This window comes from Homo sapiens, chromosome 12 (assembly GCF_000001405.40).
Source record: "Homo sapiens chromosome 12, GRCh38.p14 Primary Assembly".
NCBI classification, from domain to species: domain Eukaryota; kingdom Metazoa; phylum Chordata; class Mammalia; order Primates; family Hominidae; genus Homo; species Homo sapiens.
Window position 1 is genome coordinate 10,551,195 of NC_000012.12, and position 24,548 is coordinate 10,575,742.

Genomic DNA, 24,548 nt, shown 5'->3' on the forward strand with positions numbered 1-24,548 from the left:
AAAAAAAAAAAAAAAAAAAAAAAAGATTGAGCCTCATCACAATAGTGCGTAGAGATCAGAGGTCAGGGCTCTGTCACACAGGACGGCCTGGAGTTTGTCGTAAGCCAGTGAAGTAGACGGTGGTGGCTGGCAGGTTCATCACCCAGTTATCCTAGCGCCTCACAATCTTCACAAAGGCACCCATGCTGCCAGTGAAGCGCGTCCTGGCGGCACAGCGGATACCATTTGGAGACAGGTGCAGGGGCTCCAGGACACCACTGCGGCACAGGAGGCCCTGCCCCGTGGCTCGGAGGGAGGAGGGCGATTCGGCTTAGGAGAGGTCCAGAGTCTGGAGTGAGGCTTCAGTCCCAGCAGGGCGCTGAGAGCGCAGGCGGACCTTCACCACGTCCAGGGGTGTCCTGGAGATGGAGGTGACGGCTGCCCGAGGCCACCACTTGTTGGAGGAGGCTAACGCCCTCAGGTCCTGCTCAACCGCCTCCTGGCTTCAATCCTGCCTCTAGGCCTGGCTGGCGCGGCGGCGCGCTCGGGCTCACTGCAGGGTCTGCGCATGCTCGCCTCCTGACAAAGCCCACTCTGAGAGCATTGCTGAATTTGATTTGCTGATATTTTGTTTAAAAAGATTATTTCTATTCAGGGAGGATATTCGTCTGCAGTTTTCTTTCCTCAACATGCCTAATTTTTATATTAGAGTAATTCTGGTCTCATCAAATGAGTTGGGAAATGCTCCTTCCTCATCTAATTTCTGGAAGGGTTTAAGTGGGATAGGTGTTACATTGTCCTTATATGTTTGGTAGAATTTACCACGAAAGTGTGGGTTTTCTTTGTGGAAAGGTTTTTTAACTGCAAATTGAATTAGTTTAATAGATATAGAGCTAGTTAGGTTAACTATTCCCTCTTAAGTGGACTGTGGAATTGTGTCTTTCAAGAAATTTGTACACTTTACATGTTATTGAATTAATGAGCAGAAAAATACTTAATATTCACTTATCCTTTAAATATCTGTAGCATCTGTATTACTTTTCCTACTTTTATTCCTGATATTGGTAATTGGTGTCTTCTTACAGTTTTGGGGAATAATCCATTTTGTTGACATGTTAAAAGAATCAGCTTTTGGTTTATTTTTCTCTATTGCCTTTCTATTTTCTATTTCATGGATTTCTGCCCTTATCTTTATTATTTCCTTTCTTCTGTTGGATTTGGAATTAATTTTCCTTATTTTTTAAATTCCAAAGTTGGAATCTTGGATAACTGATTTTAGACCTCTCTTTTCTAAATAGCATTTTATAACTTCCCTCCAAGCAGTACTCCAATAGTAGCAGAAATTTTGCTATGTTGCACGTTTATTTTCATTCAGTTCAAAATATTTGCTAATTTCGACTACAATTCTTCTTTCACCTATGTGTTATTTATAAGTGCATTTTAAAATTTTACCATATTTGGGAATGTTCCAAATATCTTTCTGCTATTGAATTTTTAGATTTATTTGTGGTCAGAGAACATGCTATGTATAATTCATTTTAAACATATGGGCTCTTTTGGCCCAAAATATGGTGTATCCTGGTGACAGTTCTGTGTGCAGTTGAGTATTTTTTTCTATTGTTGAGTGGGGTATTCTATATATGCCAGTTATTTCAATTTGGTTGATGGTGCTCTTCCAGACTTTTTATGTCCTTACTGATTTTTTTCTAAATATTCCAGTAACCACTGAGAGAGGTGTGTTGACATGTTTGACTATAACTGAGGATTTGCCTATTTCTTCTTTCAGTCTTGGCAGTTTTGATGCAGGAGAACATGGTCAGGAGACAGGGAACCTAAGATTGATTCACGCTGACTTCCTAGAACTGAATCAAAAGGAAAACCCCACCTCTCTATACCCAAGTAACAAAAAGATCAGGGGCTACTCCCTTTGCAACATCCCCCACCCCTTTTCTGCATTGAAGACGAAAAATGAAAGTATCTTTCATTGGTTCCCTCCTGAAACCAATCAGACTGATCACAGGCCAAGTCTTCATGTGTAACCTTGTAACTTTACTTCAGCCTCCTATTGGTCACCTTCTGCAACCAATTAGACTGATCACAGGCCACTACTTCATTTACATAAGGTGTAAACCAAGTAACCAATTGGAAACCTCTAGACGGTATTTAAACTCCAGAAAATTCTATAACCAGCCTCTTGAGCTGCTTGCTTGGCCCACTCTCACTCTGTGGAGTGTACATTTGTTTCCATAAATCTGTGCTTTTTTTTTCATTGTTTTGTTTGTGCATTTCATCCAATTGTTTGTTCAAAATGCCAAGAATCTGGACACCCTCCACCAGTAACAGGTAACAGTTTTGGTTCTATGTATCTTCAGATCTGTTATTAGGTATATATACATTTAGAGTTGTATGTCAGCTTATTGCTTTTGATCTCATCAACATTATGTAATATTCTTTATCTCTGTTGTAGTGATTGACAGAATTTTCTTTCAGTATAACAAAAATGCCACTTTATCATCTGATCTGCAAAGTTTCAGATGTGAAATTATAATTCGTATTGTCTCTAAACTCTTGGATGACCTGTTATGTTATTTTTTTACTCTTTTCTTATTTTTGGTAGTTTAGTTGGGATAATTTCTGTTCATCTATCTTCAAGTTCACTTGATTTTTCTTTCCCTATCCTGTGTTCAGTTTTCTAAGAAGTGCATGGAAGGAATTCTTTATTTCTGATATCATAGTTTTATCCTTGGCATTTCCACTTGACTCTTTTTAAAAATATAGTTTTCATCTCTGAAAAATTTCATCATATATCAATGCATGTTTTTAAAATTTCCACTGTTTCTTTGACATATTAAAAAATTATTTTAAGTTTCTCACCAATAATTTCAACATCTTGAACACACATATCTTGAGTTTTATCAGCTAGTATTTTTTTTTGGCAATGGGTCCTTTTCTCACTTTTTGTGTGTTTGTCGCTTATAATTCTATTGAATGGCAAACACTGTATGTCAGGCCAGCATGGCGATACCTCTTCTGTAAATCTGTAAAGTTGAAGTGTTGAGCTAGTTTATGTTTCATTGTTCCTGTGGTCACCTTTAGTACACCACAGACTTCAAATGCTCCCAGTGATGTACTGCCACTACCTTACACTTCGTGCAGGGTCTGGGGAGCGGGAGGTTTTTCTTAGTGTTCTGTTCTGATTTCAGCACGCCCTGCACACCTGCAGTGTGAAGAGGTTCTCTCTCTAAACTGTTGCCCCTCCTCTCTTGTGGCTTGTTACGTGAAAATAACGACAGTGTTGGGAGAAATAGAAATTCTAGTTTATCTTGGCCTATTCTCAGTCTTGGGCAAGGCCCTATGTACCTTGGCCTCAGGAGTGTGGTTTCCTCAGCATTCCTCATCGTCCTCCTCAGCAACCAAGCTCTTCTTGTATCTATGGGGAGTCTTGGGCAGGAAAGAATTTCTCCTCTGCTGGCATAGCAGATCTCTGCCTTGTGTCACTGTGGGATCCTTGACCCCAGAGGGTTTCCTGCTCCTCTCTGTTTGAACATCTTTTTTCTTCTCCCCTTCCTTCAACAGCAGAATGTTTTTGACTAGGATCAGTAATGGGGGAGTTTTCTGCCCCTCTTCAAGCAGTAGACTGTTGTTGTGTGTTGCTTGGTGCAAGGCTTGTGGTGGGAGGTATGGTGGTTTCCTTCTCTTTTCTCTGCTACAAAGAAATTTTGCTTTTAGCTTTCTTTTTGCATCACGTTACGTTCTGTAAGACCAGGAGAAAGAGAGAGGTTTATCCTACCCCTCCCCCAAGGGCAGAGAACTTTTGCTTATACTGCTTCTCTAAAAGCACTCAAACTTTGCCTGATTCCTGGGAGCAGGAGGGTTTGTTGGCCCTCCCTAAGTATCTTAAAGGTTTTGCTTCAAGTGAGAAAAGGCACTGGGAAATGCTGAGGTTTCATGCCTAGACGTCGCCATGGCTAAGGGGCTTTCTCTGGCTCTGCCCTGCCCCAGGCCTTCTAATGAGCTCCCACTTGAGGCCTGTGGAAAAGACCTGGAGACTCCCCTTGCAGCTAGGACTCTCAGTGACACATGAAAGCCCAACTGAGCTTAAGACTTTGTTCAAAATTTAGTGTTTTTATTTTACTTTTATGGCTGCCATCTTTTCCTCTTATGCTCTGCCAAAAATGAAACCGTCTATGAGTCCCATCTCTCCTTAGCGGTGCATGTCCCGCTTGGAGTTCAATTTAAGTGGTTGCCTTGTGACCTCAGCACTCTGATGTCCTCAGATAAAGTTATACTTTTATACATTATCTGAATTTTTCTTGTTGTCAGGTGAGAGCGATTATCTCTGTGGCTTTTTGTTTTCTAAGCACAAGTCCGTACAAGATGTTTTTTTTTTTAACTCAACTGGTTCAGTTTCTGTTAATACATTATTTTTGAGTTAGCATTATAATATTGCTTTGCTGGAATAAAGTCCTTTGTAAAAATATATTTCTGGATGATTTTCAATGAGGGCACTCTACTAAGTGAATTGTAGGCTATACTTTATATAATTTTATTTCATATGCTTATAAAATAAGAAGAATCCATGACACCTTTTAACTTAAAAATTGAATCAAAATAAAATCAGGCATAGAAAATTAATAGTGATGATCTTAAATTGATTTAAATACAATTGATACTATTAATCTGAAAATGACTAATTTTATATGAATATCCACATAAAGACAATAAAAATAATGATAAAATTAATAAATTTGGACATTGAGGAAAGAGACATGAAAATATCGAAGTCTTCACATTTTCATACCAGAGAAACAATCTTTACTACAAGTAAAACATATTTTTAAAAGAATAAAAGTCTAGTGACTTCAAAATCTTTATAAAAATAGTATTTCTCTTAATCTTAAAAGGGAAAACTTAGGAAATAGTGTCTTATGTTAAAGAAACATTAATTCTAAATATTAATTCATTTAGTTTAATTTTCTGCCTTATTTTCTACTAGATCCTGCTAATGTAAAATTTAATAGTTTTTTTACAATTAAAGCACAATATGTATAGTATAATCCTATTTTACTAAATGCTTTTCTGTCCTAATATTCTACTTATTCATCTGTATATATATCCAACTATAATACATTAATAGATTGTATAATCACAATGACTATTTCTTGGTTACATATAACATTTTGGATTAAAAAAAAACTTTTTCCTGTATAATTACCTGCAATTTTTCGTATAGAATCTATAATGTATTTTAAGAAGCAATTGTTTGTTTAATTAAACAAACTTTTTTAAATTTAAAAATGACTGGAAGGGTATTTAAAAGTATTTTAAGTACTCTTTAAAAGAATTTTTAAGTAATTACAAATGGTGTAATTTGTCTTCTTTGTGCTTTTATGTAACAATTTCTAAAAATATTTCATTTTGGCTTCCAGATATTTAATCTGCATGTTGTCATGCCTTTGAGAATATTGGACAAACACATTTGTAAAATTTCATGTGTCATATGTATTATCAGGTAGACACATAAAGAAGAGCACACAATAACTGGAGAACATTGTAGAGAAACTCCAGAAATGTGTTCAATAAAATATAGCACCTTAAAGCAAAAAAAAAAAAAAGATATTTTAACTCTTGGTGATTCTGAGATAAAAACAAACAAAAACACCTGTATATTTGTATCATAGATCAATTCTACATCATCTTTGATTGGAGATTACAAGTAAAATCTAAAACACATACACGCTAAACACACTCCTTACATATAAATTGTACTAGTGCACATTTAAATATATGTTTAATATGCATATATATGTTTAATATATAATGTATACCATTTGAACTTAATTAGAAAATAGTATATGTAGAGGGAAATCGATCTCTTAAAAAGTGGTGGTTAGTGTTAGCAAAAGGCATGCAGGGCTCAATAAATATTTGTGGAAAGAATGAAGGTATGAATGAACAAATGTATGTATGAATTAATATCCAAATCTAGAGAGACAGAGTTAGAGGGATAACAGCCCAGTGGTTTTCTTATTCTCAGGGTTTTTCCCTCCCTCTCTTTCATGCCCTAGCCAGGCACTCTTTTTCGATAATTTGCAAAGAAAATACTATGAAGAGTCTGAAGTAAAAGTTCACTTGTTGAACCCGATGTTTTCTTTCCCCCAGGCATTGGGAAGGGGAAGGCAGAAAAGCGGAGTGCAAAATGAAGTGGTAGTGGGTGCTAACTAACAAGAGAACCTTTGAACACGATGGGACAGAAATAAGGTCATGCATTTTCTACTATCTGTCACCTGTGGACAACTTGCCACTTCAACAGTTCTGGACACTTTTAAGCTCCCCCGAGGAGAAGATAGGAAACTTGGACACCCTGTGTGGGATTGAGAATCACAAAGGGGCAGTCTCGCACCTGGTCAAGATAAAGCTGAACTGAACTCTTCATTCACAAGTGGGATTCTCGTAAGAGGCAGGAAAGCAGGGACCGTCTGTCACTACAGACAGCAAGAAGAGGTGAACCTTAATGAGGGAAGAAAACAGATTCTATTAGGGGAAAAAAACATTTAATCAGAAAATAAGGCTCTGGAAAGAAAAGGCCAATTGGGGCTTTGTCTGAAGAAATAACAGAGTATTTTTCTGCCAGAGAAAGCAAGTCCAAGGGAGGAATTTTCAGATTGACCAAAGAGTATTGGTCTACATCATTAGTACTTTCAGTGAGAAATAACTGAAAATAAACTAGAGCAAAAGTTCCCCAGGTGTGGTTCCAGGACCAGCAACTGAAACATCACCTGGGAACTGTTAAAAATGCAAATTCTTGGGCTCTCCGCCAGAATCACTGAATCAGAAACTCTGAAATGGGACCCAATAATCAGCAGCTTAACAAGCTCTCCAGGTGATTCTTATGCCAAATAAAGTTTGAAATTCCCTGGTGCTGGCGCTGGAAGCAAATGAGTCACAGCTGTGAAGAATCCCTACCATTAATACCCTGGGTGGGATAAATAAAAATGGGAAACTAAAAAGTTAAATGATCAGAGGTTGGCTGTAGTTCAAAAGTAAGGATATACCTGAATATAAAATTCTTTCTTAACCTAAATGCAAAATGGGAATATGTTTAATCATTTATATAGCATCTCACTGGTTTTTTCCAGCTTGAGACATGATTCACAAAAATTGTATATATTTAAAATGTACATGATGTTTTGATATACATATACATTGTGAAACAATTACCACAATGAAGTTAACATAACCATGACCTCACCTAGCCACCATTTTGTGTGTGTGGGGTTAAAAACCCTTAAGACCTGCTCTTAGCAAATGTCAAGTATACAGTACCTTATTATTAACTATAGTCACCATGCTGTACGTTAGGTCTCCAGAACTTACTCATCTTCTAACTAAAAGTTTGACTAACTTCTCCCCCAGCCCCCAACCCCTGGTAACTACCACTCTACCCTTTGTTACTGTGTCTTCAACTTTTTTAGATTCCACATACAAGTGAGATCACGCAATATTTGTGTTTTGGCGTCTGGCTTATTTCACTTAGAATAGTGTCCTCTAAGTTTATCCATGTTGTCACAAATAGCAGGATTTCCTTATATATTTATAGAATAAAAACTAGACCGAATTATGCATTATGTTTCTTTCCTCTTCCCAATTTTTGATACCTGAAAATGATAATCTCCAGGTCAAGCCTAACAGAGCATTGCCTGTTGCCCGATGGTAATAACACCAAGAGCAGGCGCAATGCCTATATGGGGTCAATTTATAGCCTAGACACATAGCTCTAAACACATTCTCAGTGATTCATTCCAATTACTCCTCCACCTGGTGGATTTACACTGGCATTTTTCATGCCCATCTAGGTTCTTCCTAGTACCTCACCTTTTCGGCCAACTTTCACTGGTCATCCATTGGTTAAAACTCAGTCAATGTCATATCATCTTGTCAAAGCATGTTCAAACCAACAGTAAATAATATATAAATAATATCTAATAGTAAATAATAATGGAAATAATTATAGTAAATAATAAATAGTATATAAAATATATAACTAAATGACACATAAGTGAGTTCTAGATCACTATGCCAACTCAATCCTCCAACCTCATAAGAACTGAAAATCCATTATCAAAGACACTATGAAAATACAGCATAAAATAGACCCAGATACTTCCTGAGAGGTTAACAACATGTAGCCCACCAGAGGAAGAGCTGCAGCTGGAGCTAGCTGGGCTCTGTGAGCTAAAACCACACAGGAAGCCTCAAGCACAGGGGCTCACTGTGTACCAGGAGGCCCAGGGGGACCCTGACAAGACCTCCTCTCTTCTCCCGCTTTCATCCAAGGTCTAGGAACAAGGCAAAAAGCTAATTCTTAAAATAACAGGGATTTAAGATGTACCTTTAAATCCTTGGCTTGCTTTAAATTTGGCTGCTTGAGTATGGATTCTCCCCATAGGTTTACCGTAAGAAACATTCACATGATAATGTGATATTGTACTAAAGAGTCTGATGATTGAAAATAGAATGTTTGGACCCAGATTGGTAGTTTTTTTTTTTTTTTTTTTTTTTTTTTTGTCTTTTTGGGAGTTTTCCTTCATTTTTTTTTTTACGATTTCTAATAGTCATACTTTACCTTAGATTCCATGTTTTTGAAAAGTATTTTGTTGGATTTATTGAAAGTGAGAAAATTAATAATTCCTTTTATTATTATTGACTCTCTTCAAAAATAAGCATTGGCTAATTCTTTGTGCTGTCACTCACATTCCATAGTTTACTAGCTGAATCAAACCAATATATAGAAAAGACATGTGTCAAATACAGTTTTTGGGGGGTTAGGATTTTTTTGTTGTTGTTATTGTTGCTGTTTGACATATATCATCTAATTCTCCAAAATGATATCCGTGTTTTAGAGATGAAAAATTAGGGGCATTAGATGACTCACGAAAGGACATTCAATTGACAAATGTACATCTATATTTTATGTAGTCTACTTTAATCCTCGCTTATACTTACATAGGTAGGAAGGAGAGGATAAATTATGTGATCATTCTCACCCTACTTTTCTGTAATTAATTATAGAAAATGTTTGTCAAATTTTTTTTTAAAAAGCCTTTTCCATACAAATCACTTTGTTTTTTACATTCAAGGGATATGACACACAAATGTTGGTTTTTTTTTTTTTTCTTTTTTTTTGAGATGAAGTCTCACTCTGTCGCCCAGGCTGGAGTCAGTGGTGCCATCTCGGCTCACTGCAATCTCCACCTCCCTGGTTCAAGTGATTCTCCTGCCTCAGCCTCCCGCGTAGCTGGGCCTAAAGGCATACGCCACCACGCGTGGCTAATTTTTGTATTTTAGTACAGATGGTGTTGAGGAAAACCATCTTTAAAAGGCTGCTTTCCAAAGATAACTCCTCCTCTCCAAAAAGAGTTGCCTATACATGTTCTCCCTCTTCACATATGAATTCTGCTGTGTTAAAATGCTGAGTTCTAGAGAAGAGGGGGAATCTTGTGGAAACCCATATTATTAAAAATCATCTCAGCCTCACAGTTCAAATGTTGGAAAAATCAAACCACCAAGATATTTTATTAACAGTATTTCCTACCATAATCTACCTTAATAACAGCACCAATAATCCTTTTCTCACAGGTAGAGAATATCTTTTCCAACAGAGAAATACCCGTAACCAATGCAAATATTTTTTACTCATGTGCCATATTTGCTGTTGGAAATCATTATACAATGAAAAATATGTACAAAGTTCAGTATGTCACATAAACCAAATATTGTAGAATAATTCAAATTGGAAGAGTTGCAACTATTAAATGGGATGAAGAAAGTTTATTGTACCATCATTAGTCTTTAGCATTGTACTTGTTATTTTACAAAATATCTGTTTATATAGCTTTCAATCCAAGTTGATCATACATTCAGGGAAGGCAGAAATTGTGTTACTCACTTTTGAACCATCAACATACAGTGCAATTTATAAAAACCACTAATAAATAATTGCTGAATGAATGCTTTTTCTTTGATTTTTGTTTTTTGTTTGGGACAGGGTTTCACTCTGTTGCCCAGGGCGCAGTGTAGTGGCCTGATCATAGATCACTGCAGCCTCTACTTTGAATTGTCTCTCGGGCTCAGGCAATCCTCCCATCTCGGCTCCCTGAGTAGCAAGAACTATGGGCATGTGCCACCATGCCCAGCTAATTTTTAAAATTTTTCCCTTTTTGTAGAGACAGGGTCTTGCTTTGTTGCCCAGGCTGGACTCAAACTCCTAGCCTCAAACAATCTTCCCACATTGGCCTCTCAAAGTGCTGAGATTATAGGCATGAACCACCATGCCTGGCTGAATGAATGCATATTTTTATGGTTTAACATAGTAGAAGACAAACAATTTTAAATTATAAGTACTAAAAAGCTTTTAATTTATTTGACACAGAGTCTTGCTCTGTGGCCCAGGCTGGAGTGCAATGGTGCCTTCTTAGCTCACTGCAATCTCAGCCTCCCAAATTGAAGGGATTCTGCTGCCTCAGCCTCCTGAGTAAGCTGGGACTACAGGTGTGAGCCACCACACACAGCTAACTTTAGTATTTTTTGGTAGAGATGGGGTTTCATCATGTTGGCCAGGCTAGTCTCAAACTCCTGATATCAGGTGATCCACCTGCCTCAGCCTCCCAAAGGGCTGGGATTACAGGAGTGAGCCACCATGCCCAGCCCTAAAAAACTAATGTTATGTTATTGTTAACTTGATTTTTTCTTATTAACATATGATGTTCCAAGGAGTCATTGTTAAAAATTGGAGTAACAAGGAGAAATATGAAGAGAGAAAAACACTTCCTTATAAAATTACATTAATATGTTTCCTTTCTATAATTTCTATGCAACATACTGGGAATCACACATTAGTTTACAACCCAATTCATAAATTAGCATTATGCCAGAAGCATTTCTCATGTCATTGAATACTTCATAAGTCATTTGAAAGTGTGTATGTTTTTTAATTGTATGATTGTATCATATATACTAACCCTTTCATTATTGTTGGACCCAAGATTTTACCTGGTATTTGACAATTCCAATAATGCTAAGGTAAAATCTTGAGTGTGTACCATTTTGTCCACATTATTTTCTGAAGATAGATTTCTAGTAGACTCATTGGCTCAAAAAGTACTACCATTTTTTAAGGTTATCAATATATTTTGCTAAATTTGTGTGCAGTAGTTATCTACTAACATTTGCTACAGCAGTTTATGAGAATATAGTTATTACTTCATTCTGACCAGCAAGACTAATTTTCAAATAAGCCTTGATTTTAGAGCTTGGTTTATGTGGTGATGCCATCTGGTGGCCTAGTACAAAATTACAGAATCAGAAGTGAAAAACCTTTTGAAAACTGTAATGAGCAAAATTAAATTTATAAGGTGATGGCAAATAGCACAAGTCTTATACGTTGTCAGAAAGCATTCTTGCTGTTTGGATTTCTAAAAATTATCAGGAGCCATGTAAAATGAAGATTACAAACTCAAACAATGCTCATTCATTCATCTCTTCAACCTGAGTTTTTGGAGTACCTACCACATGGTAGTACTATTCCCTGCTGATGAAAAAGATGAAGTCTCCATGCATGATTTCCAGGAATGTGTAGTTTAATGGGGATACATAATGCAAATTTACCACTATAAATTTTACCAAAGGCTTTCACAAGTGGTGACTAATATTTACTAATATTTGTCATTTGAATCATTTTTATCAAATGTATGATATGTAATTGTGGTTGACTTTCTCTAAAATAACTCCAGTCATCATTCCACTTCTTGGTATTCATGCCATTGTATAATCTTCTTCCCAGAGTGTGTGCTCAAGTTGGCATCTCTGTTTCTCTTTCTCTCCCTCTTTCTCTCCCACTCCCCTCTCCCACATACACGTCCCCAGCAGAAAACAGAATAACAAACTGCCATGAAGTGAGTAGCTCTATGGAGAGGTCTATGAGGCAAGGCATTGACATTTCTCCTGTTAACAGTGAGTGAGGACCTCACACCAGCCAACAGCATGTGCATGAGGCTGCATATGAGTCTGCCCCAACTGAGCCTTCAGATGACTGTAGCCCTCACCCACACCCCAAAGGCATCCTTGTGAGAAACTCTAAGTCAGAGTCACCCATGGCTGGATTCCTGACCCAAAAAAAGCATAAGTTGTGGGATAATTTAGTAATTTGTTACACACAAATAGTTAACTAATTAACTAATAAAAAGAATTTGAGCCTGGCCTGGTGGCTCATGCCTGTAATCCCAGCATTTTGGGAGGCTGAGGTGGACGGATCACTTGAGGACAGGAGTTCAAAGATCAGCCTAGCCAACATGGTGAAACCCCATCTCTACTAAAAATACAGAAATTAGCCAGGCATGGTGGCCCATGCCTGTAATCCCAGCTACTCAGGAGACTGAGGCAGGAGAATCACTTGAAGTCGGGAGGTGGAGGCTGCAGTGAACCAAGATCGCCCATTGCACTCCAGCCTGGGTGACAGAGCAAGAAACCCTGTCTTAAAAAAATAAAAAAAAGAAAGAAAGCTATTCAAACATTTGAATAGTGATTTCAACATAATTACTCAAGTCCTATACAAAATTACTTAAGTCCTATACAAATTTAAACTACAATTACAGATTTAGTTAAGCTAAGTCTTTTGAGCACCTCAAACACCTTAAGTAGCAAATATACCCAAAGAAAATTATTACAAAACCTATTGCTTACTCTTAAACCTATCCTAAAATATAACAATAGTTTTTAAACTTCATTTCTTTTGTTATTCCTATAATTTTTATTCTTCTCTAAGGCTATAATTCCACTTGATAACTTCCATTAGTTGTATTAATGCATCCTTTTACATCTTTCTGGGCTTGTAGTGATCTCCCTAGACCAATAAGCAAAATATTTCAGTAAATGGCTGGTCAAGCAACTGATTTTTAGTCAGTTTGGGACCCGTTTGTTTTTGCCACGATAATTAACTCCAGCTGCAGGCCATGAAGTCATCTCCTATTTTAGAGTTAAACTTCTTTTGTTATAAAAATAAGACATTTCAAATTCTCATCTTTCACATGTTTTTGGATTTTTATAACCTAATATCTCCATCATAAATGATACGTTTCAAGTCTCAACCAACATTTCATTATGTATTATCCTATCTCTATTATATACTGATATTTTATGTTAGGATTATTACAAATTATGTATGCTTTATTGTATTATTTAAGGGCCACTTAGAAATTCTATATCCTAGGAAAAGAGAAATGAAAGTTTTGTAGTAAGCTTCCTTTTCATTATTATTATTATTTTTGAATTATACTTTAAGTTCTGGGATACATGTGCAGAACGTGCAGGTTTGTTACATAGGTATACACGTGCCATGGTGGTTTGCTGCACCCATCGACCCGTCATCTACATTAGGTATTTCTCCTAATGCTATCCCTCCCCTAGCCCCCCACCCTCTGACAGGCCCTGGTGTGTGATGTTTGCCTCCCTGTGTCCATGTATTCTCATTGTTCAACTCCCACTTATGAGTGAGAACATGTGGTGGTTGACTTTCTGTTCCTGTGTTGCTTTGCTGAGAATGATGGTTTCCAGCTTCATCCATGTCCCTGCAAAGGACGGGAACTCATCCTTTTTTATGGCTGCTTAGTATTTTATGGTGTATATGTGCCACATTTTCTTTATCCAGTCTATTATTGATGGACATTTGGGTTGGTTCCAAGTTTTTGCTATTGTGAACAGTGCTGCCATAAACATACATGTACATGTGTCTTTATAGTAGAATGATTTATAATCCTTTGGGTATATACCCAGTAATGGGATTGCTAAGTCCAATGGTATTTCTGGTTCTAGATCCTTGAGGAATCGCCACACTGTCTTCCACAATGGTTGAACTAATTTACACTCCCACCAACAGTGTAAAAGCGTTTCTATTTCTCCACAGTCTCTCCAGCATCTGTTATTTCCTGACTGTTTAATGATTGCCATTCTAAGTGGCATGAGATGGTATCTCATTGTGGTTTTGATTTGCATTTTTCTAATGACCAGTGATGATGAGCTTTTTCTCCTATGTCTGTTGGCAGCATAAATGTGTTCTTTGGGGGAGTATCTGTTCATATCCTTCACCCACTTTTTGATGGGGTTGTTTTTTTTTTCTTGTAAATTTAAGTTCCTCGTAGATTCTGGATATAGCCCTTTGTCAGATGGATAGATTGCAAAAATTTTCTCCCATTTTGTAGGTTGCCTGTTCACTCTGATAATAGTTTTTTGTTTTTTTTTTCTGTGCAGAAGCTCTTTTGTTTGGTTAGATCCCATTTGTCAATTTTGGCTTTTATTGCCAGTTTTTGGTGTTTTAGTCATGAAGTCCTTGCCCATGCCTATGTCCTGAATGGTATTGCCTAAGTTTTCTTCTAGGGTTTTTATGGTTTTAGGTCTTATGCTTAAGTCTTTAATCGATCTTGAGTTAACTTTTCTATAAGGTATAAGGAAGGTGTCCAGTTTCAGTCTTCTGCATTTGGCTGGACAGTTTTCCCAACAGCATTTGTTAAATAGGGAATCCTTTCTCCATTGCTTGTTTTTGTCAGGTTTGTCAAAGATCAGATGGTTGCAGATGTGTAGCACTGCTTATGAGGCCTCTGTTCTGTTTCATTGGTCTATATATCTGTTTTGGTACCAGTACTGTGCTGTTTTGGTTACTGCAGCCTTGTAGTATAGTTTGAAGTGAGGTAGCGTGATGCCTGTAGCTTTTTTCTTTTTGCTTAGGATTGTATTGGCTATATAGGCTCTTTTTCGGTTCCATATGAAATTCAAAGTGTTTTTTTTTTTTTTTTCTAATTCTGTAAAGAAAATCAGTGGTAGACTGATGGGGATAGCATTGAATCTATAAATTACTTTGGGCAGTATGGCCATTTTCACGATATTGATTCTTCCTATCCATGAGCATGGAATGTTTTTCCATTTGTTTGTGTCCTCTCTTATTTCCTTGAGCAGTGGTTTGTAGTTCTCCTTGAAGAGGTCCTTCAAATCCCTTGTAAGTTGTATTCCTAGGTATTTAATTTTCTTTGTAGCAACTGTGAATGGGAGTTCACTCAGGATTTGGCTGTTTGCCTATTATTGGTGTATAGGAATGCTTGTGATTTTTGCACATTGATTTTGTATCCTGAGACTTTGCTGAAGTTGCTTATCAGCTTAAGGAGATTTTGGGCTGAGATGATGGGGTTTTCTAAATATACAATCATGTCATCTGCAAAGAGAGACAATTTGACTTCCTGTCTTCCTATTTGAATACCCTTTCTTTCTTTCTCTTGCCTGATTGCTCTGGCCAGAACTTCCAATATTATGTTGAATAGGAGTGGTGAGAGAGGGCATCCTTGTCTTGTGCCAGTTTTCAAAGGGAATGCTTCCAGCTTTTGCCCATTCAGTATGATATTGGCTGTGGGTTTGTCATAAATAGCTCTTATTATTTTGAGATACGTTCCATCAATACCTAGATGCAGAAAAGGCCTTTGATAAAATTCAACACCTCTTCATGCTAAAAACTCTCAATAAAGTAAGCTCCCTTTTTAAGACATTTGGCTAAGTCATCATTTTATAACACAATATTCAACTCCCCTTTCTCTCTCCTTTCTTACTGTACATGAGCATCCTGTGTCTAGTTCTGCTTTTTCTAAACTGTTTGACTCACAATTCCCAATATTTTTATCCTTTACTTATACAGTTTTAAAAAATACTGCTGTATAAACACACATATATTTAAAAAGAGGAAATAGAATGATTTAGATATATTAAAATACAACTTACTAAAATTTTTATCAGTTTATTGAAATACATTTTTTAAATCTAATCTATTATATTCCTCCTCTTAGATTACAGCTACCAATAGTAAAACACAGCATCTTAGTATCACTGGCAGCTAGCACAGCCCTTGGACGGGTGACCTACAAGTAAACAATTCATGATTATATTGCGACACAAACATATTGGCGTGATAAATCAGATGAAAGAAATTAGCATATAAATTAAAAGTGTAATTGCAACAGTGTTTGAAACAAAACAATATTAATAACTACCAATAGTTGTAATCTAGAGAACTTTTGTCTTTTAAGTATCATTAGAAACTCATTGCCTTATAAAATATTAGTGTATTTCAATTAATTTATTATTATTAATGCTCAACTTGTCACAACTTGATCAAAATAAGCTGCTTCCTCCTGACTCCTGTGTTCTTTGTCTTATATGTTTCCTTATTTGCTGAAACAGTAGTGTCCAACAGTAGTGGCACTAGGGTTTATAAGGTAGGAGTGGGCAAAAGTACTGTCACTGCTATTTGTCCTTTTTGTAAAAATTTGAAGTGAGAGTCACAGGTGATGGAACGATTTTACAGTCACAGATTTATTTGTGTTTGATTTAAATTTATTTAAACACTCCTTACTTTTCCTATACTATGAGACTCATAAACTGCAAAGACTTTTCACAACAAGGAAATTTTAGATTGTATCCACTCATCTTCAGCTAATAAATCCTCCACACTGCAGGCAGCCTATTCTCCTAAAATGCAATCTTTACCCTTTCTCTCCTCCATTGAAAATGACTTCCCTTCGAATGTAAGATAAGCATCAAAAATTAACTCATTCTCTGGCCTCTACTTCTTCATCTTCTGTGACTCTCCCTACTCCCAGTCTCCTCCTACATTGGCTTTCTTTTAGATTTCAAATGCACCAACATAGGTATTTGGAAATAAGTGTCATTCTTGAGGATTTTTAAATCTAGTGCAAGAAAGCATTGCAGTAAACCACAACAAAACACAGTGTCTTCTTAGTATCACTGGCAGCTCGCACAGCACTTGGAACACGGGTGTCCTGCAAGTAAACGATTCATGATTATATTGCAGCAAGAACATATTGGCATGATAAATCAGATGAAAGAAATTAACATATAAATCAAAAGTATTATTGCAACAGTGTTTGAAACAAAACAAATATTAATTATCTAGATCAAAACAAAATTACAGAAGCATAAAATTATTGAGGATGGCAACAGCATAATGTGGAACAGTGCCCAATAAAAGCCAGCAAAAAAGATGAATGTAAGAAAATCTTTTTTTTTTTTTTTAAACGGAGTCTCGCTCTGTCGCCCAGGCTGGACTGCAGTGGCACGATCAAGGCTCACTGCAAGCTCCGCCTCCCAGGTTCACGCCATTCTCCTGCCTCAGCCTTCTGAGTACAGTAGCTGGGACTACAGGCGCCCGCCACTGCGCCTGGCTAATTTTTTGTCCTTTTTTTAGTAGAGACGGGGTTTCACCGTGGTCTCGAGCTCCTGACCTCGTGATCCGCCCGCCTCGGCCTCCCAAAGTGTTGGGATTACAGGCGTGAGCCACCGCGCCCGGCATCAAAACATGCTATGCACGTGCTGCAGTCTCTGCCTCAAGTTGCTTAATGGGTGTGTCTGTGTGCATGCAAACACACACACATTTACACATACAAATAATGACTTTCTACATTGAGAATAAAAGGTTAATGTTCAGAATTTTAACATTTAATAAATCACTAGAGTGGATTGATAGGACTCACATTTGTCCTAAACCCACCTTCCTAAGGTCACTCACAACAAATTATAGCATGTGTTTTTATTTTCTTTGATTTTTTTTTTACAACTGCTATAACTACAAGAGCAAGGATAATTATAAATCAGACTTTTATATGCCAGGCATGTCCTGAAAGCCTTTCCAAGCCATAAAAGACAAGATAGTTTCCTTCAGTTCTTCCGCTGGCATGGCTATCTGTTGATGGAGGAAGCAAGGCTCAGCATTAAATATTCACTTGGATTACTGAGAAGGATAGTCAAAAAAGAACTAAAAGAGAATTAGAAGAATGGTGAGAAGGGCCTAAACATTACCGTGTAATGCATTATACACAATTGCCTGACATTCATGTTATTTCCTTAAATAACAAGAGAGTCTTACATTGCAAACATACATTGACTCTATTAGAAATAAAACAAAACAATCTCTCCTGCATTTTCTGCACTGTAATTAATTCACAGATCCAGGAAGAGATGACGAAGTATTGCTCTGAGCTCTTGGGCTCAGCCTCAGAAGTCATTAGGGATGTTATTTCAAAGAGATTACGTCTTCTTTGCTATTAAAAGGCTTATAAATAAGTCTTTTATTATTTATATACAAGTTTATAAATAAAAGGCTTGTAAACTTGTGTATATCAAATGCAGAAAGAAATATTTTGATTTACAATAAAGAAAAATAGTCTAGGAGTAGGTAAAGTCCATGACTGCTACCTTGGGAAGAAATGAGTTACATTTCCTTGGAGGTATTCAACCAGAAAGTCAAGCACTTGGCAGGGAAGTTGTAAAAAGAAATTCACAAACTCATTGAATTGTTGGATATAAGATCCTACTCAAAATTTAAGATTATGTGAGAATAGGTGTTTACCATAAGTATATTGACTGCCAGTAGTTCTGGATCGTATTTTTTCTTTTGTCATGAGATTTCACCTCTGTGTAAATATTCTCCTCAGTCATTTCTGGAGAGTAGAGAAACATAACGAGATAAAATATGGGGAAAGAAGAACTTTCTCCATAATCATTCAAGATGTAAACCAAAAATAAAATTCTAAGTCCCCCAACCATCTGAATAGACTCCGCCTCTCAGCCAAGAGCATTTCAAAGTCAACCTGAAAAACTAGTTGAGGCCATGATGGGAAGGAGGAGACAGACATGCCTAATTATACCCTCCTACCTTTTGGAATTACTGATGGAACAGACCCTTTCAGTCCCCTAAGAAACATTTACAGCCTATTCTCTCTGAGGCCTGCTACCTGGAGACTTCATCTGCATAATGAAACGTTGGTCTCTACAACCTCTTATCATAACCCAAGCATTTCTTTTTATTCACTCCAGGTCTTTAGAAAATAACTCTTTCAACCAATTGCCAATGAGAAAATCTCTGAATCAGCCTATGACCTGCAAGCCCCTGCTTCCAGTTGTCCCACCTTTCTGGACCAAACTAATGTACATCTTTCATGTATTGATTGATGTCTTATGTCTCCCTGAAATGTATAAAACCAAGTTGTAGCCCAACGACCTTGGGCACATGTTCTCAGGTTCTCCTGAGGGCTGTGTCGTGGACCATCAGTCACTCAAATTTTGCTCAAAATAAATATCTTCAAATATTTTACAGAGTTTGACTCTTTGTCAACAAAGAAAACAATCATTATAATTCATACATCTCATACATATTGGAAGTAGTTGCTAATAAAAATTATAATTGAGTAGGTTTTCTTCATTTACAAGAATTTCTTTACAGGCCTTCCTGAGTGAAGTGTATACTGGAGTTCCATCTGTGGTCTTCCATAGGGTTGAGGATGCTGTTGCATCAGTGATGGGTGGAAAAAGAGTTGATTGGAAAGAGACAAAACTGTAAGATGTTATCATTTCAAAGAGGCTCTCCTCCTACTATGATCAGAAGAAAATTAAAATAACAGGTCAGAATACATAAAAGCAGAGCTGTCAGCAAAAGGGCAAGCTGAGAAGCTGCAGTTTTGGCTTCCTGAGAGATTTAAGACCCTGTTAATTTTTAAACCACAAATCATAAGGGTTTCTTGTTTTGTTTGGTCTTGTTTTGTTTGTGTTTCATCTTAAACCACCTTGTTTTGTAGTATGGAACCATTTGTATACTGTAATGCCAAATTGTAAGAACATAATTTATAGCTACAGCAATAATAAATACAGAATTATTCTGATTTATTCATTCTGGTTATCCTACAAGTCCATTTCTACTTGTCAGATAATCTGCATCTGCATGGACTTCTAATTCAGTGTGAGAGCTCTTTTTTGTGTGTGATAAGGAGCCCATTGAAATCTATAAGTCACGGGTAGGTAGATCTTATAAATTTGGACATGTGTAATAAAAAGTCTAGAGGTCAAGAGACTGAGGGCTGTCGGCAGCTCAACAGCATCATCAATGCCATTCGCTGTCTAAATCCTTCTAATCTTCTGCGTTTGGACATGTGGACAACCTTGTGGCCACACATAGCTGCCATAGCCCCAGATCAGTATTCATGGCAATGAAGGGGTGGCCTGCCCCTCCACACCTGTGGGCATTTCTCGTCGGGTGGGACAAGAGACTTGAGAAAAGAAGAGACACAGAGACAAAGTATAGATAAAGAAAAGTGGGCCCAGGGGACTGGCGCTCAGCATAGGGAGGACCAGCGCCGGCACCGGTCTCTGAGTTCCCTCAGTATTTATTGGTCATTATCTCTACCATCTCGGAGAGAGGGATGTGGCAGGACAATCGGGTAATAGTGGGGAGAGGGTAAGCAGGAAAACCTGTGAACAAATGTCTCTGTATCATAAACAAGGTTAAGAAAAAGGTGCTGTGCTTTGATGTGCACATACATAAACATCTCAGTGCATTAAAGAGCAGTATTGCTGCCAGCATGTCTCAACTCCAGCCTTAAGGTAGTTTTCTCCTATCTCAGTAGATGGAATATACAATCAGGTTTTACACCGAGACATTCCATTGCCCAGGGACAAGCAGGAGACAGATGCCTTCCTCCTATCTCAACTGCAAAGAGGCCTTCCTCTTTTTCTAATCCTCCTCAGCACAGACCATTTATGGGTGTCGGGCTGGGGGATGGTCAGGTCTTTCCCTTCCCACGAGGCCATATTTCAGACTATCACATGGGGAGAAACTTTGGACAATACCTGGCTTTCCTAGGCAGAGGTCCCTGCGGCCTTCCACAGTGTTTTGTGTCCCTGGGTACTTGAGATTAGGGAGTGGTGATGACTTTTAACAAGCATGCTGCCTTCAAGCATCTGTTTAACAAAGCACATCCTGCATAGCCCTAAATCCATTAAACCTTGAGTCGACACAGCACATATTTCTGCGAGCACAGAGTTGGGGGTAGGGTTACAGATTAACAGCATCTCAAGGCAGAAGAATTTTTCTTAGTACAGAACAAAATGGAGTCTCTTATGTCTACTTCTTTCTACATAGACACAGTAACAGTCTGATCTCTCTTTCTTTTCCCCACAGGCAAGAAGAGAATAGAGGCAAAGCAAGCCACTCCAGAAGTCCTCTAGCCAGCTTTGTCTTTAGTTTGATGGCCAGAGGTGGGCCATATGGACACTCTGTAGCTGCAAGGGTGCTGGGAAAGCGAGTAACTTCTGAGAATGGCAGGAGATTTGGAATGATTCATGGATTGGCCAACAGTCTCTGCTACTTGAGGCTAATGGTTACACAAGATTTAACCTTTAACCAGACATCAACAAATTTTTGAGGGCCTATTATTCATACTCCAAAATAAATACGAAAGTCAGGGATCCAAGAAGGCTCTTTCAATTCCCAGAAAGGGGATAATATATATGCTATATTCCATAGTACATAGTGGATAAAGAAAAACAATATACTATATTTTTTGTGGTATTTTGATCCTCTGCTCGTTTACCTGCAGCAATTATCAGTAAAAAAAAAATAAAAATAAAAATATAAAAATACTTTTAAGAAAAGGAACTTGAGCAAATGCCTTTGAGGAAATAAAAACAGTAGAGTTAGAAAAAGTTCACCTGAGGTGTGTGTCAGGGTTAATGGTGATTCCAAAGAGTACCATAGGCAGTAACGACTTTAAATGAAAAAGGAAAGAGGGGTGAGTTTCTGGAATCTACACCAAAGAAGAAAAGAAGAATAGTTTGGCCCTGAGCAGAAATATTTGGATATTTTCAAATTGTTATACAGTATTCATTCTTACATCTATTATTGAAACTTTTTTTTTTTTTTTTTTTTTTTTTTGCCTACTCCAGCTAAACACTGTGCTGGTTATCCCCATCCATAACTCCTCCCAAAGGGCCCAATAGCCTGCCTTCCAGCAGAGCTAATAATCCATGGTTTAAGTTATGCATTCGGACTGTAAGAAATCTGAATAAAACGTCATTCTCCCTTTTATCCAACTGGCAAAATGCATACTCTTCCTCTAAACTCAATTGAATGGAGTTCTTTGAGAAGACTTCCTGATAACATGCTGTGAGTTCTTTGAACACCTTAATTATGGTCCAATGACTTATGTCTTGACATTGCATTTCAATTATCTGTCTGTATTTCTGTTCTCTGAAGTTTGAGCTTCCTGAGGGAAAGATCTGTAATTTATTTATCTTTATAATTTCAGTTCTAAGTATAATACCTTACACATAGAAAGAGTTGAATAAACAACTGTTGGACAAATGAGTAAAGGAACAAATAAATGTTCTGTTAAGGGAAACAATTATAAACAAAGGAGTCTAAAAAAAGGAGCAATTAATTCTGTATCAAGGCATCTAAAAAGACCAATTTGATTTACTTGAATGGCTTTGTTTCTAAACTAAAATACAAAGTTTATGTTTTGAAAGTTTTCAACTTATAAAGAAAAAAGTCATATAATAGTTTGTCTGTATAACTCCAGATAATAAAAAATCCCTGTCTAGATTACTATAGTTTATAAGCTAAGAATAAAGGCTAACTAAAATGGGTCATACAAAATGTTCAACAAAAAATATTACTATTTCTAAAGAAAGGGAAACATAAACTTACATCTTCTCTACTTTCTTAATCTGTGTAATTCACTTTATTCAGTTCCAAAAGAAAGAAGTCTTGGAAGACCCAGAATTATTCCATTATCAGAACAGAAATTCTTTCACTCAATTACCTGCTTTTTTTTTTTTGAGACAGAGTCTTGCTCTGTTGCTCAGGCTGGAGTGCAGTGGCATGATCTTGGCTCACTGCAACCTCTGCCTTCCAAGTTCAAGCGATTCTCCTGCCTCAGCTTCCTGAGTAGCTAGGATTACAGGCTTATGCCACCATGCCTGGCTAATTTTTGTATTTTTAGTAGAGATAGGGTTCACCACGTGTTGTCCAGGCTGGTCTCGAACTTCTGACCGGGTGATCCAGCTGCCTGGGCCTCCCAAAGTCCTGGGATTACAGGTGTGAGCCATCAATTAACTGCTTTTAACTCACTTCAACTTGGCAATAATCTAATCTAGGGAATTCACTCCCCTTTCCTAATGTTTTCATGTTCTGAATTCACTCTCTCTGAATTTCAAATATCAATCACCATCAGATAGAATTAAAGGTATCAACAAAATCTTTAGAAACAATAGCTGATGACACCTTTGTCCTTTACCTGAAAGCTCCACAAACAATTTGGTCAGAAATAGAATTGAGAGTCGCTCACTTTCCGTGATAAATGCTGAACAGGAAGAAAATATCCAATGTCCAGAACAACTGCAAATGTTGTCAGCAGCACAATAGGAGATCCTGACATTTCAGTGGCATTCTGACAGTTTCTATTCTGGTCAGAATTCTCATAGATGTTTACAGTGACACTTTTCACTTAGGGAAGAGAGCTAAAAACAAGTACATATGAAATAAATATATTTAACTGGTAAATGGAGAGAAAAAAATAATGCCACAGATAACTAGACAAGGAAGGATGGAAAAAACAGAGAAGAAAAAAGGGAAAATAGGAAAAAGGGAGTGAAATGAGAAATAATCCAGTCAAAACTGTAAATGAATTAGATAAGAATCTCTGTAATCACTTTATATGTGGTTTCCATATTGAGATCTTGTCTTTCCTTGATGTTTGTATGACAGAGGAAATCCAAGCCAAAAGCTCCTTTTGGAGACAAGAATATTCTGACAGCACCTCCTACGATGTGACAGAGTCAAAGAAGAAAATATACAAGAGAACTCTGCTATAGAAAATTACAAATTCAAACCATGGGAAAATGGGGAATAGAAAAATTATCTCTTTAGACAGAGAAAAGATTATAAATACTGAAAATTGTCATTTCTATAAATGTCATTGCTCTTCTGTTTTACATTGTGTAAATATTTGGAAGAAAATGGCACAATTTTCTTTCAAAAAAAGGGAAACATTCAAAATATTTAAATTATATATATTATATATGTAACATGATCAGCAAGTCTGGAAACATAACGAAGTTTTATAGTATTGATTTATTCCTATCACTCTGAGATATGGTGACATTACATGATATGTTCAACGTGTTGTTCCTCATTAGCAATGTGTTATGCATAATGGGGACCAACATGGGACATTAATACAACATTTCTATCAGTGCCTGCACATGCTTCTGTGATACGTTGCCTCCAATGATTTTTGTCTCTAATTTTCAGAATATAAACCTGCTCCATTAGCATTTTCTGGAAGAAGCAATCAAATGGGTTAATCTGTGAAAGTAAATGTTATCTATATTTCCCAACATTATGGCCATCCTGTATTAACGTATATTATGTATATTCTGAACTGCTCCATAATTGGAATAGTCATTCCTTATCAATAATTTACTTGATATCATGGATATGTGTCTTTTAGTTAATGATCCCTTTGCCAACTAGCCTAGTTTATAGGCAGTGACTATATCATACTCATTTTGAATTCCCAATACTTACCACAGCTTCCTATACATGGTAGTTGTTTAATAAATAATTCTTGAATAAAAATAAACTTTAAATATTTCCTTATTATTTAGCTTTCGAGTACATCTTG

The 24,548-nt window shown here is 37.0% G+C and overlaps 2 long non-coding RNA genes and 1 pseudogene across 3 annotated transcripts, besides 1 other annotated feature; 1 reads left to right on the forward strand and 2 right to left on the reverse strand.

The window, feature by feature from the left end:
- On the reverse strand, nt 72-341 carry SLC25A39P2 (SLC25A39 pseudogene 2; annotated as a pseudogene).
- On the forward strand, nt 2,185-24,494 carry LINC02446 (long intergenic non-protein coding RNA 2446). Of its 2 annotated transcripts, NR_146456.1 has the most exons (3): nt 2,185-2,322; nt 21,044-21,120; nt 23,630-24,494. It is a non-coding gene; the product is annotated as a long intergenic non-protein coding RNA 2446 (long non-coding RNA). The 2 variants fall into 2 exon arrangements; NR_146455.1 differs by lacking the exons at nt 21,044-21,120; nt 23,630-24,494 and adding an exon at nt 6,142-7,600.
- On the reverse strand, nt 15,796-21,048 carry LOC105376675 (uncharacterized). Its single transcript, XR_931358.2, has 2 exons — nt 18,440-21,048; nt 15,796-16,853 (listed from the first exon to the last, which is right to left on the reverse strand). It is a non-coding gene; the product is annotated as an uncharacterized LOC105376675 (long non-coding RNA).
- Nucleotides 20,541-21,146: an enhancer, noted in NCBI's record as "OCT4-NANOG hESC enhancer chr12:10724334-10724939 (GRCh37/hg19 assembly coordinates)". NCBI's record gives its function as "activates a minimal SCP1, AML or CMV promoter by ChIP-STARR-seq in naive H9 embryonic stem cells {active_cell/tissue: H9 hESC(naive)}" and the evidence as "EXISTENCE:reporter gene assay evidence [ECO:0000049][PMID:30033119]".
- Nucleotides 24,495-24,548: the final 54 nt, after the last annotated feature.